We start from the raw sequence: 14,014 nt of genomic DNA on the forward strand, positions 1-14,014 counted from the left end.
TATTTAGGAAAAAAAGATAAAAGTTACAGAATCACATCCCCACAGCCATAAAACAGATCATAAAGACATGCCTACAAAATGAATGAAATCCACAGCTTATTTCAAAACAAGCTAAAAGATCAACATAAATTAGAGCAAGAAAAACTCAGAAGTAAAATGATAAAATTCAGGGAAGTATTAGGAATTTTTTAAATCACATTAGAAATTATTTTTAAATTAAAAAGAAGGCAAGAGGGCATAAATCCAGTGGATAATTCCTTAAGAGAAATAGAAAGTATAAAGTAAAAAAAAAAAGTTATATTAAAATAAATGAAGAAAGAATCAAGAGGGACTTGAGAGAAATTAACAAATACAGAAGACAGACAAAGAAGATTCAACATTTGTGTAAAAGGAATCCCCAAAAGAGAAAACCAAAGTGAGGAAAAGAACACAAACTAAAAACTACAATGGAGTGGGAGAATTTTTCTGAAATTAGTTTCTAAAGATTTGAGACTACATAAAGTCAGAATCACCCCAATACAAGCAACACCAAAATACATTCTAATAACATTTTTAGACTTTAAAGAAAAATATAAAATCCCTTGGACATCCAGGAACGAAGAGCACACTGCTTAGAAGGGAGAGAAAGTCAGGTCATCCTCGAACTTCTCAACAGCCACACTTTGTGCCAGGAGAACAGATGGAAAGAGGGTGAGGATGGAAGCAGGGAGAACTGACAGGAGGCAGAGCCAACTGGACTTTCTGGTCGATCAAACACGGGATGTCAGAATACCTGAGCAGCTAGGATGAAGTTTCCATTGATGCTATTGGGTAGACTGTGGGAGGCAGTGGTTTGGGAGCCAAGAATAAGCTAGTAGTTTGTGCATACTATGTTTTAAATGTCTACTAATAATCCATATGGAGAGCTGAGTAAGCAGCTATACAAAGCATCTGGCATTTGAAGCTGAGGTCTGGGTTAGAAATATATATTTGGAAAAGATCAGCATATGGAACCTGGGTAAAATCAATGAGGGAGTGAGTGAGGAGAATACACCCCTATTCAAAACTTCACATTGGCTTTTAACAAAATACAAATCTTTTATCTTGACCAATAAAGCCTTACATGTGGCTCCCTCTCACACCTCATCTCCTGTCACTCTCCACCTCACTCCAGGAGCTCTAGGCACATAGGCCACCTTGCTATCTCTGAGTAACTTCACTTCCATCTCAGAGTGTTTACATTTGCTCTTCCCTATGACCAGGACATGTTCCCTCAGATGTTTGCATGCCTGCATGCTGACATCGTTCAACTCTCTGCATAAATGTCAGCTCCTCAGAGAAGTCTTCTGGTACCCTATCCAAAATATCTGCCCCCAATCCCAAACCCACCGCTGTCACTCTCTAACCCCTTAATCTGCTTTATTTTTCCATTATTCACAGGTTCCTTTTTCAGTTTCTATTGCTGCAAAACAAATTACCCCAAAACTTAATGGCTTATCACAGCCATTTTACCAGGCACATGGATTCTGTGGGTCAGGAATTTGGACAAGGTGCAGAAAGAATGCCTTGTCTCTGCTCTACAATGTCTGGGGCCTCAACAGGGAAGGCTCAAAGGCTGGGGTGACTCGGCAGCTAGGGTTTGGAATCATCCGAGTGCTTGTTCACTCCTGTGTCTGGCATCAGAGCTCAGCTGACTCAAAGACTGGGAATGCTGGCCAGAGATCTCCATGTGGCCTCCCAGTGTGGCTTGGCTTCCTGACAGCATGGCTGCCTCAGGGCAATCAAACTTCTTACTTGGTTACAGAGACCCAAGAGCAAGTGCCCCAGCAAACATGGAGGAATCTGCATTGCCTTTCAAGACCCAGCTTCAGGAGCCATACAGCGTCACTTCCCCAGCAATTTACAGGTCAAAGTAGTCTCAAGCCTGGCAAAAGGATGAACACAGGTGCCATGTCTCAACAGAAAAAGAATCAAAGAATGTCGAGGCTCTGTCCCACCATACTGCCTGAGAAAAGGTTGAGCTCTTCTTCCCAAGCATGCTACTAGATGCCTGTGGAAAGAATGAATTGTCTTCTTAATATTTGTCTGTTGACCTATGATTGTCTTGCTCTCACTCTCTCCCCTTACCCTGGAGACAGGACTCTGAGCTCCCAGCTGCTCTAGTATATATCAAGTCTTGATATAAGATCTTGACTCCACAAAATGGAGAACACAGTGGTTCTCTCTTTACAGCAGGGCTCCTAAATCTGTCAACAGCCCCCTCCTCCATAATGAATGGTCCATGTCCATTTTACAATCTGGTCCCTTAATTCCCTGTAACTTCTTGTCGGGACTTCTTAAAAGGGTGAAATACTTTTCTGAATATTGGAAAAACCCACAAAAACACAACAGAAGAATTAAACAAGTTCACAGAAGCTGGTTCACAATGCCATTTGATTAAAAATAATTGAACAAGGAAAATTAATTCCAGGCAGAACTGAGTAGTTATTTTCCTAAATTGGAGAAAATGCTTCTCTTTCCACCATCAAAGCCCCTAAAAATGCCACCAAGAGTGTTGAATAACATTAACTTGAGATGGGAAACCACATGACTTTACGCCCACACACTCGCCCTTTGGCCTGGGCATGCTTGATTCAAGAGAAGAGTTACATGTGCCTGAGCACCTCCCATCAAGTTTTAGAAGCTTTGCATTGCACTGACCAAGAGTTTCTCTTGGATTATAGCTAAGGCTGGGCATAGGCTTGTGTGCAATCATGGGACAGAAAGAGGGAGAGACTGCATCCAAAGGGAGATCAAATGAAGCAAAACAAAGACAGGGAAGGACCAGACCCAAACCCAGATCCCACCGGCAAGCTAGAACATGGCTTGGGTTGTCTGGAAGCAGTACCCAGACAGAAACCTCAGTGTGGTGAATCAGTTTCCTTGGGCATCAAGGGGATAAAGAATTTGCTGTAGAGACAGAACGTATTTATTCAAGGAATGGCTGTGAGAATTGGGCATGAGCAGCTGTGGGTGGAAAGAGGATGGAGTATGTGGCAAGGAAAAGCCACCATGAATCCCCAGTCTAGACACTAATCCCATCACCAGGGAGAAGCAAACTATCTAGAAGAAAGGGCATGTTTGGGAGAACAGGGCCAGTTGAGCATAGCTCTGAAATGACTGGTTGTGAGACCCGAGTCAGGTATTGCAAGACAAATCTTTTAAAATCACAGAGAGGAGAAAATAGACGTAATTGAAGAAGACAAATGGTAGTCTACACACAAATCTTCTTTTCTGTCCTGTAAATCAAATTCCACTATAAACAATGCCATAAGAAAATATCTACTCCTCTAAACAGCAAAGATTTCCAAGTACAAAAAAGAAGGCCCCCTTACATCAGCAATGCAATTACATCACAGCATGAAAGCAATGTTCAGAGAATCTTGTATTATTCAGGACGATCATCCATTATCGTGAGACTGATGGCATGCATCCCCACGCCTGGGCAAGGGAGAAAAGAAGATTGATCAGCAATGTCCTGCAGTATTCACTTTGAAAGGATGACACTTTTCCTGTTTTGTCACACACCCTGCTTCTTAAAGGTAGGTCCCAATTCTCTTGCGACCAGCCCTACAAATGCCTAGCAATTGCAAGGATACTTTGGGCTGCAGCAATTATTTGCAGGGATGAAGCTCTGGCCCACTCTCCCTTTAAGTGTTTTCAGGCCCATCCCAATGGCTCACGCCTATAATCTTAACACTTTGGGAGGTCAAGGGAGAGGAGCACTTAAGGCCAGGAGTTCAAGACCAGCCTGGACTACATAGCAAGACCACCCCCTCCATCTCTATAAAAACTAATTAAAACAATAACAGGGCATGGTGGTGCACACATGCCTGTGGTCCCAGCTACTTGGGAGGCTGGGGGGTGACAGATGGGGGAGAATCACCTGAGCTCAAGAGTTTGAGTGAGCAGTGAGCTCTGATCCCACCACTGCACTCCAGCCTAGGTGACAGAGTGAGACCTTGTCTCTAAATAAATAAATAAATAAAAATAGGGGCCAGGTGTGGTGACTCATGCCTGTAATCCCAGCACTTTGGGAGGCCGAGGCAGGAGGATCACCTGAGTTCAGGAGTTTGAGACCAGCCTGACCAATATGGCAAAACCCCGTCTCTACTGAAAATACAAAAGGCGGGCACCTGTAATCCCAGCTACTCGGGAGGCTGAGGCAGGAGAATTGCTTGAACCTGGGAGATGGAGGTTGCAGTGAGCCGAGATTGCGCCATTGCACTCCAGCCTGGGTGACGAGCGAAACGTTGTCTCAAAAAATAAATAAATATAATTTAAATTTTTTTAAAAGTGTTTTCGTACTGAAGAAACAACAGCAGCTCATATTTGTATCCCATTTTCATGCTTGGGAGGCATTTTTACCTACATGATCTCAGTCAATTCTCCCAAAAACCATGTGAGGTCAGGATAGCCCAGCCTAGTGTGACTCACACAGGTGCACACACTTAGCTAGAGCTCTCTGTCTCTCCTTGGGGAAGGGGAGGCACTTGGAAGGAATGAAAACACTGTCCCTCCCTGACCTTGCTGTGGACTAGGCCCTCTTTGTCCTCCAGGAAGACAAACAAGTCTTTGTGGATCTAAGGGCATAGGGGCCAGTTTAGTGGGAGCAGGGCTTTTGTGGAAAGGGGGTCCAGTCTGAAGAAGGAGTGAACTCAGATGTGTTAAAGGGACTCAGTCACCAGGTCTGGGAACCTATAGGTGGTTGGGGGCCCCTAAGTTCTGGAGGCAGTGCCAGGTGACAAGGAGCAATGCCCAGGAGTTGAGTGCCCGAAGGGTGGATGGGACGAGAGTGCCACATCTTGCACGGAAAGGGAAGCCTGCTTGCAGGGGCAAGGGTTGCCCCCAGTTGGAACTCCTCCAGGGCTGTGATGTGAGGTCTCACTGGCTGGCTTTTCTGTTCCCCGTGGAGCAGGACCATCAGTGTCTCCCCACAAGTACGATCAATATCCTGCCAGTGCTTTGAGTACCCCCAATAACATCAATGCAAATCGCTCAGCCACCCCACAGCATCCGAGACACTTGGAAGTCTCATTAGAACCCTGGACACCCAGCAAGGATGGGAGCAAGAGCTCCCATTCCTGTTCTTTGGGGCCAGATGGGCACCCTTTAGGTCACCCCAAACCAAAGACAGATGGGAGTGGACGCTTCTTTTTCATTGGCATTATTACTGTTATTATTGTTATTACTCCATCTTCACTGAAAAGTTGTTAAGGTGGAAAGAAGTTAAAGCCAGGATCTTATAGCCAGTGGATGACACCAGCCCTTTGATTCTCGGGCCCTGATTGCTTTATTATACCAGGCTCCTGCCCCAAAGGTAAACTATGCCAATGACTTGGGCCTCTGTTTGTTCACTTTAAAAATGTAAGGAGTAGAGGGAGGTCCTACACTCTCTCCGTCCCCCGCTATCCTGGACCCATGATTCTCCAGCCCTGGGGTCCTGACTTGGAGGCGGGCGGCAGGCATACTCCATGTCTCCTGCAGAATGAGCACGGGCCCTCTGAATACCTTCTCCTCCTCAGAACAGCACTTTCTTCGTCCCTGTTAGGAGCCTGCTTTATAAGGTGAGAGACTTTCTTTTCATAATGAAGCCCTTTTTAATTCTGAAAAAAAGTAAAAACCTTTGCTTGGAAGGAGTCCCGGACAGACCCAGCTTACACCAAGCTCCTTGGAAGCTGATAGCATTTCCACGCAGCCCCAGGTGCAGTCACTACGACGTGCTTGGGAGGAGAAGGACGATTTTGTGACCAGACAGAAGAGCTCTCTTCAGTACTTTGCCTGTGAAGCAGCAGCTGTTCTGTGTTCCTCTGTCCAGGAAACGAGAGATCAACTCAGAGAAAATTCAGAGAAAAGCAACAAAGATGATTAATGAGCTAGAAAAGCAAGTGACAGCCTTGCGGGGGAATACATTGGCAGAGCTGGATGGATATCACACACCAGATCCGTGCGTGTGAGCAGGAGCTGGCCACAGAGAGAGAGAGGAACTGTTTGGTTAGGGCCCAGGCAGTATCCATACTATAGAAGTAACGGGAATGAAATGGAGAGGAAAGGAAGATGTCAGCTGAAAATCAGAAACAAGTTCCTCACCAAGACACTCCCCTCTCACGACAAGGATGGAAAGCATGTTGCTTTAGCTGTTATCATGGAAGGCCCAGAAAAGGCCTTGGGAGAATCCAGTTTCAGGAAAGTGTGGAAAAATACCAGAGAGCTGTGGAGAGCCCATGGGGATCCTACAGAACAGCCTCTAGACGTCGACAGCCCTGTCATGAATTAGAATCTTTGGACAAGGTGGCAAGCCAACCAGATCCTACAGCAGCCGACAAGCGACCAAGGCTACACAGCCTTGCCTGGGACAGCTTCACGTGGTCACTGTGATTTAGATGATAATAAATAGCCCTCCCCGGCAGCCATGCAGACCTTGGGAATAAGTCTTCTTTTCTTGGTCCATTGAAGTCACTGGAACCCATCAGCAAAGTTTCATCCCCATTTGTAAATCACTGCCTTAGTCATGCAACGTAGCTCTTAAACAACTGAGGGTGTTTGTTTTTCATTCTCGTAGGCTACAAAGCGTAGATGCTAATACTGGCCGGAAAGCAGCCTTTGTTCCTATAGTTCCTGCACACTCCATCTCCCAGCTTTACTTTTCTGCTAAGGTACCGGGCCCATAGAGCTCTTTGATTGCATGTCATTACAGTACAAAATAAACAGGAGAGGTGGCCCTGGGGGCTGCCACCAGGGCAGAAGGCTGCTGTTAAATCTGGAAAACTGACTCCTGGCCATCCCTGGTCCGGATGCAGGTTATTTTTGCAGCAGCCTCTGACCCCAGACACCCTGTGGTCTCCTCTTACACATCCTCCCCATGCACTGCTTCCACCTGTTGGCTTTTGTCACCATCAGCCCCAAAGTGTCTGCACTGCCCAGACCCCACACTCATCTGAGTCCTTTCCCACACTTCCTCCCCGCCGTCTTGCTTGCTTCTGAAAGTCAGCAGGCACCACGAGGAAGGGGATTTCTCTGTCAGCCTACATGAAACTTTCACGGTGGACAGATTTCTTCAATCCAGAAAAGCCTTCGGGGGAGGGGTGGGAGGGCTCCAGTCAGAAATCCTAGAGGGTTGGCCCCGTGGAGAGAGGCTTCCACACGCCCTGCCTGCTGCTGCGGGTAGGATGCTTGGTGAGGTTCATGGTGGCCAAAGCTATAGGACTCCTCACTCAAACCCCTCAGCCTGACCCTACAGAAATGTGCTCTGCCTTGGAGAAGCCAATTAACCTCTCTGGAGGTCATTCCTTCATACCATATCACAGTGACCACAATTCTAATGCAGAGGCAGAAGACTCAACTAATTCTGCATGAAGAGAATGTGCTCATATAATTCAAATTTCCTATATTCAAGGTTTCTCCAGTAGACATGAGTATTCTAATCGGAGCACGGTATTGCACAAATGATCAAGCTCAAGGGCACAGAGTATTAGAGAAATTTGCCCAACCTCACAGACTGTGTCACGCAGCAGGGTCAAGTTTCAAACCCAATCAATCCTGTCTTATGCCAAAGCCCTTGATTTTTCAGTTATGTCCACTGTTCTGCAGTGAGTCCAACAAAATATTTGTTTCCAGTGGTTAGACTGAACTCTCTGAGACCCCGTGGTCATGTGAAGATAGCTGTGTTCATCAGAGCGCTTGGTGACTAGTAGCTTAGGAAAAAAAATAACAAATTGGAAGATTGGGAACAATAGCTCATGCCTGTAATTCCAACATTTTGGGAGGACTAGGCAGGAGGATCGCTTGAGGCCAGGAGTTTGAGACCAGCCTGGACAGCATAGAGAGACCCTGTCTCCACAAAAAATAAAAAAATTAAAAAAAAATTCGCCAGGAGTGGTGGCACGCCTGTAGTCCTAGTAACTAGGGAGGCTGAGGCAGGAGGACCACTTGAGCTCTGGAGTTTGAGGTTATGGGGAGCTATGATTGTGCCAATGCACTCCAGCCTGTGAAACAGAAAAAGACCTTGTCTCTGAAATAAAAATAACAAACTGCCCCAGTGCTGAGAAGGTCTGGGAATAGATTTTAAGCATGGCTGGGCCCACAGCTCAGACAATGTTCTGAAGTGCCTGTCTCTGCTTTTGTTATTTGGTGTTATTCTTAAGCAAGTTTTCCCCTCCCAGGGAAGGAAAACAGCTGGCAGTGACCCCAGACTCACATCCTCACTGAGCAGCCCAGAGAACAGCAGCTCTAGGAAAAGCACTGGGATTGGGTCTCACTGAGCCAGTTTGTGTCATCAGCTGGGATTGGGTTTCATTGAGCCAGTTTGTGTCTTTAGCCTCATTGTTTAGCTGGTCACTGCATTTAGGAGGTTGAAATATGCTGAGCGACCAGGTCTGGACACGAAGGCCACCCTTTGAGTATTAAGGAGGAAAAATCCACTGAAAGACCTAGTGGTGAGGAGGAGTGAGAAGAAAGGAGAAGGGCAGGAGGCCTGTGGGAAGGGGCGTCACTGGGGAGAGCCTCAGGGGACAGATGACAGGACTCACAACAGAGTGATGCTCAGCCTGCTCCACGGCCATCTGCAACCTGCTCTGAGGATGGGGACCCAGTGACAGTGAACCGTGAAGGAGAGACAAATCTGCCTCTCACCCCAATCACAAGAGCTGCCTGCTCTGGCCAGATCCTGAGCATGGGCAGCAGAGCCTGTCTGAGGTCCTCCGCTTCTTGCGGAGCTTCTGTCCTCACTCTGGAGGAACAGTGAGGATGGAGCCTCTACCCTAGCCAGGAAGAAGAAAACAGCTCCAGAAGCTGAGGAGACCACAGGGCCTCTCTCATAAGAACAAGGATGGCCATCTATGACACAACATATGGCCCACAGTGTTCACTAAAAAATTGCTAAAAGCAGGCCAGGTGCAGTGGCTCACTCCAGTAATCCCAGCACTTCGGAGACTGAGGCAGGAGATCCCTTGAGCCCAGGAGTTCAAGACCAGCCTGGGCAACATGGCGAAACCTCATCTCTACAAAAACAAAAAAGAAAGCAAAAACGTAACTGGACATGGTGGTGCACACCTGTGGTCTCAGCTACTTGGGAGGCTGAGGTGGGAGGATCGCTTAAGCCTGGGGGTGTCAAGGCTGCAGTGAGCTATGATGGCGTCACTGCACTTCAGCTTAGACTAGATGACAGAGCAGGACCCTGTCTCAAAAAATATGTATATATTATAAATATATAATATATATTATATATATATGTTATATATATATAATATATATTATATTTATAAATATAAATATATAATATATTATATATATAATATATATTATATATATTATATATTATATATATAATATATATAATAAATATATAATATATATATTTAAAATATAATATATATAATACAAATATATTTAAAATATAATATGTAATATATGTATTGTATATAGTTATATATAATTTATATATTTAAATTTATAATATATATATTTATATGTGATTCTCTCATTTTTAAAAAATTGCTAAAGGCAGATGGGAATTCTGGTCTTGTAGGGCTTGGTGGCCCTTCTCAGAAATAAGCAGTCGGGCGTGCCTTAGAAACATGAAAGCCAAATTCATGGCCAGTCTACGAGACCTGCACTCTGTGAGGCTCCTTGTAGCGTGGAATGTAGTGGGCACAAAACTCTTGGAAGCACTACTCCAATCCTATCATTTTATACATGAGGAAACTGAGGCTTCCAAGGTGAAGCAAGATGGCCAAGATCACACCCGGAATCAGCCTCTGCAGAGACGACAGACACTTACTGGGCACTTCTTTGGAACAAAAGCTCACACCAGCCTCAAACTTTGCTCTGTTGTCTTGGCCCATTTTCTGTTGTTATAGAGGAATACCTGAGGCTGGGCAATTTGTAAAGAAAAGAGGTTGCCTGGGCACGGTGACTCATGCCTGTAATCCCAGCACTTTGGGAGGCCAAGGCGGGTGAATCACCTGAGGTCAGGAGTTCAAGACCAGCCTGGCCAACATGGTGAAACCCCGTCTCTACTAAAAATACAAAAAAAAAAAAAAAAAATAGCCGGGTGTGGTGGCGGATGCATGTACTCCCAGCCACTCAGGAGGCTGAAGCAGGAGAATCTCTTAAACCTGGGAGGCGGAGGTTACAATGAGCCAAGATCACGCCATAGCACTCCAGCCTGGGCAACAAGAGCGAAACCCCATCTGAAAAAAAAAAAGAAAGAAAGAAGTTCACTTAGCTCACAGTTCTGCAGGCTGTACCAGATGCATGATGCCAGTATTTGTGCTGCTTCTGGTGCTGGGTTAAAACACAGTGGAGAAGGTCATAGAGGAAGCAGATACGTGTGAAGAGGGAGAACCTGAGAGGCATCCTGGCTTTATAACAACACACTCGCATGGAAACTAATCCATTCCCTTGAGAACAAATCCACTTCCACAAAAATGGCACCACGCTGTTCATGAGGGATATGCCCCTGTGACTCAAACCCTCCCACAAGGACCCACCTCCCAGCGCCACCCCACTGGTGGTGCTGGGGATCAAATTTCAACATGAGATTTGGAGAAAACAAACATCCAAGCACGGCATCTGTCTACCTAGGTCCTCGTCTGCCCCTTCAACTCCGCACGAGTCTTGTCCACTCTACCCACAGGATGTCTCTTGCATCTGTCCACTCCCCTCCACATGGACTCCTAGACTAAGCTAGCACGGCCAGTCTCAATGAAAACACAGCAATAGCCTCCTTCCCCCAAGGACTCTCCTCCCACATTGAAGCCAGAGTGATCCTATGAACATAAATCCCACAGGGCACCCACAGACCTCTCCTGTCTCACCATGGGCCTCTCTCACCCACTGTATTAGGCCATTCTTACATTGTCATAAAGAAATACTTGAGACTGGATAATTTATGAAGAAAAGAGGTTTAATTGGCTCATGGTTCTGCAGGCTGTACAGGAAGCATGGTGCTGGCATCTGCTTGGCTTCTAGGGAGGCCTCAGGAAGCTTCCAATCATGGCGGAAGGCAAAGCAGGAGCAGGCACGTCACATGGCGAAAGCAGGAGCAAGCGAGAGAGAGAGTGTGTGGGGAGGGGCCACACCCTTTTAAGCGACCAAATCTCATGTGAACTGAGAGCGGAGCTCACTTATTACCAAGGGGACAGCCCAGGCCATTCATGAGGGATCCACTCACCCCCATGATCCAATCACCCGCCACCAAGCCCCACCTCTAACATTGGGGTTACACATGCGATCTCGGTGGGGCCACATATCCAAACCATATCACCCACCTTCTGCCCTGCAGCCTCCGTGGCCCTCCTCTGCTTCCTCAAGTCATCCTTGCCCCCTGCAACCTCAAGGCCGTGGCACACACTGGGCTATCCCCCCACCAGCAGCTCTGCCCCTTGGAGCCCCCACGAGACTAGCATGTGGAGGGTGAGCTGGTTGGGTAGCGGAGGGGGTTCCTGCAGGAGTGTTAGCATCTCCACACAAGCCTTGACAGCCCTGCTCTTCTCCTCGATGGCCCCCACAGTGGGTCTCATCCTAATGGCACACCCAGAGATTCTGCCGTGATGGTTCTGGGTGTAGCCTGAACCACAGAGTTTTTCAAAGCTCCCCAGGCGAGGCTAATGGTCAGCCAAGGTTGAGAATCACTGCCCTGAACATAGCATGAGGATGATAGGCGGGTCGTTTCTTACTGAAAGGCCCCTATGTGCCAATCACTGAGTTACACACTCTGTGGCTGGCTTCACTGAAGTCTCACCAAAGCTACAGGAGCTGAGGATGATGATCTCCATTTGCAGGTGAGGAAAACCAGGCTCAGAGAGGGGAAGGAACTCGCCAAGGTCACGTAGCTCAAGGCAGCAGAGCCGAGCATGAGCCCAGGGGTGGCTGCCTCCAAAGCCTGCATTCCTAACCATTCTAAACCCTGTGCCCTCCATGGGTTTCAGTAAGGTGCACAGAGAATGCCAAACTTCACAGTCCTCTGAGATATAAAATGTAGATGTGCCACCATGGAGGAGCCAACGAGAAAGAGTCCAAAATATGGAAACACATGTTTTGTTCCTGATGTCAGACCCTGTAAATACCACAAATAACACATCAGCATGTCCTCCCATCACTGTCAACAAACTATAAAACACCCTTTAAACAGCCCAGAGTCATGACTGTACAGAAATCAAATCCAGCAATTCAATTTTCCGAGGAATGTTTTTTTGTTTTTTGAGACGGAGTCTCACTCTGTCTCGCCCAGGCTGGAGTGCACTTGGCTCACTGCAGCCTCCACCTCCCAGGTCCAAGCGATTCTCCTGCCTCAGCCTCCTGAGTAGCTGGGACTACAAGTGTGCACCACCACGCTCAGCTAATTTTGTATTTTTAGTAGAGACGGGGTTTCACCATGTTGGCCAGGTTGGTCTCGAACTCCTGACCTCAGGTGATCTACCTGCCTTAGCCTCCCAAAGTACTGGGATTACAGGCATGAGCCACCGCGCCTGGCCCCAAGGAATGCTTTGCTTAACTGACTCCCTCCACTTGCTTTGTAAGAAACTCTAGTTCAAGTTCATGTGCAGAAGCTCCTTGAAACCTGTGAAAGGAGGTGCTGGGCATCAGGTGAGGAACACCTGGTACTCGTCTCCTCGTCAGCCTCTGTGGCTTCCACTAGGCATTTGTTATGAATTTTCTTTTTCATTGAGTCCTCACCAGTAATCCATGATCTGATCCAATATAAAAAGACTTTCAATTATTTAGATAATAACATCTTACATTTATATAGTGCTTTACCATTTTCAAAGTACTTTCGCATATCTTATTTCATTTGCATATCAGGCATTCAGTGTTGGCTACATTTGTATAGATAAATACAAGTGATGAATAGGCAAAGTCTAAAAAAATACTGTATTTCATTATCATCTCCAAATGTTGTTTCAAATAAGACAAATTAAATAAATATATTAAAATGAGAAGCCTCTTAAGGAAAGCATCACATATTTATAAAGTTACCTTTTCCAAGACTAGCAAAGTAATGAGCATGATGAGGAACTCAAAGCATGTTTCTAGAGACTTCCGTTTCCAGCAATATGGTAGACTGCTAAGCTGACACATCCAATTGCTGAAAACAACCCAAAATATTGAACAAACTACTTTTTAAATAATAATAATTTGTTGAAGACAACCAAGAAACTAAGGAATACTTGGAGGGCAATACTAAGTAAAGTCAAGAATGTGAAGAGATTTAAGTAAAATTAATTACCTAGCGAGCACCAAAATCAACGTTTACCTTGAGGACATTGGTCAAGCTCAGTAATCTGAGAAGTGCAGGAAACAGGAGATAAGATGGAGAGTCTAATAAGAAACACCTAGAGCTTCCTGTAACGCTAGCGTACTCTTTTTTTTTTTTTTTTTTTTTTTTTTTTTTGACACAGAGTTTCGCTCTTGTTGCCCAGGCTGAAGTACAATGGCGCGATCTTGGCTCACTGCAACCTCCGCCTCCCAGGTTCAAGCGATTCTCCTGTTTCAGCCTCCCAAGTGGCTGGGGTTACAGGCACCCACCACCACGCCTGGCTAATTTTTGTATTTTTAGTAGAGACCAGGTTTCACCATGTTGGTCAGGCTGTTCTCCAACTCCTGTCCTCAGGCAATCCACCCGCCTCGGCCTCCCAAAGTGCTGGAATTACAGGCTTGAGCCACCGCACCTGGCCAACGCTAGCTCACTCTTAGTGGAAAGGTGAACTAGACCAGGGATTGCAGAGAAGATTGCTGTCTTGAGGCTTGGCATAGCATAAAAGGGAAAAACCTACCCTGAGAATCTGTAACCTCAAGCCAGCCCACATGTGAGTCTGCTGTTCTTATCTGCTTTAGTGGCCCTAAATAACTCAAGCTGGAAATTTGGTGGTCCTCAAAACCCGCAACTGAGAGTTTTGTTTACAAAGACCTACTCTAAAATTCCAGCTCTGGGGAAGATGGAGTAACCACATTCCATCCTGTCTCCCCCACCAAATGCCAGAACACAATGCACAGA

The 14,014-nt window shown here is 46.2% G+C and overlaps 4 annotated features.

Annotated features, from left to right (window-relative positions):
- Positions 5,677–5,726: an enhancer, noted in NCBI's record as "active region_2784". NCBI's record gives its function as "activates an Ori minimal core promoter by ATAC-STARR-seq in GM12878 lymphoblastoid cells {active_cell/tissue: GM12878}" and the evidence as "EXISTENCE:reporter gene assay evidence [ECO:0000049][PMID:35858748]".
- Positions 5,767–5,826: an enhancer, noted in NCBI's record as "active region_2785". NCBI's record gives its function as "activates an Ori minimal core promoter by ATAC-STARR-seq in GM12878 lymphoblastoid cells {active_cell/tissue: GM12878}" and the evidence as "EXISTENCE:reporter gene assay evidence [ECO:0000049][PMID:35858748]".
- Positions 5,907–5,956: an enhancer, noted in NCBI's record as "active region_2786". NCBI's record gives its function as "activates an Ori minimal core promoter by ATAC-STARR-seq in GM12878 lymphoblastoid cells {active_cell/tissue: GM12878}" and the evidence as "EXISTENCE:reporter gene assay evidence [ECO:0000049][PMID:35858748]".
- Positions 7,085–7,144: an enhancer, noted in NCBI's record as "active region_2787". NCBI's record gives its function as "activates an Ori minimal core promoter by ATAC-STARR-seq in GM12878 lymphoblastoid cells {active_cell/tissue: GM12878}" and the evidence as "EXISTENCE:reporter gene assay evidence [ECO:0000049][PMID:35858748]".

The sequence above is a fragment of the Homo sapiens genome, chromosome 1 (genome assembly GCF_000001405.40).
Source record: "Homo sapiens chromosome 1, GRCh38.p14 Primary Assembly".
In the NCBI taxonomy this organism is placed as follows: domain Eukaryota; kingdom Metazoa; phylum Chordata; class Mammalia; order Primates; family Hominidae; genus Homo; species Homo sapiens.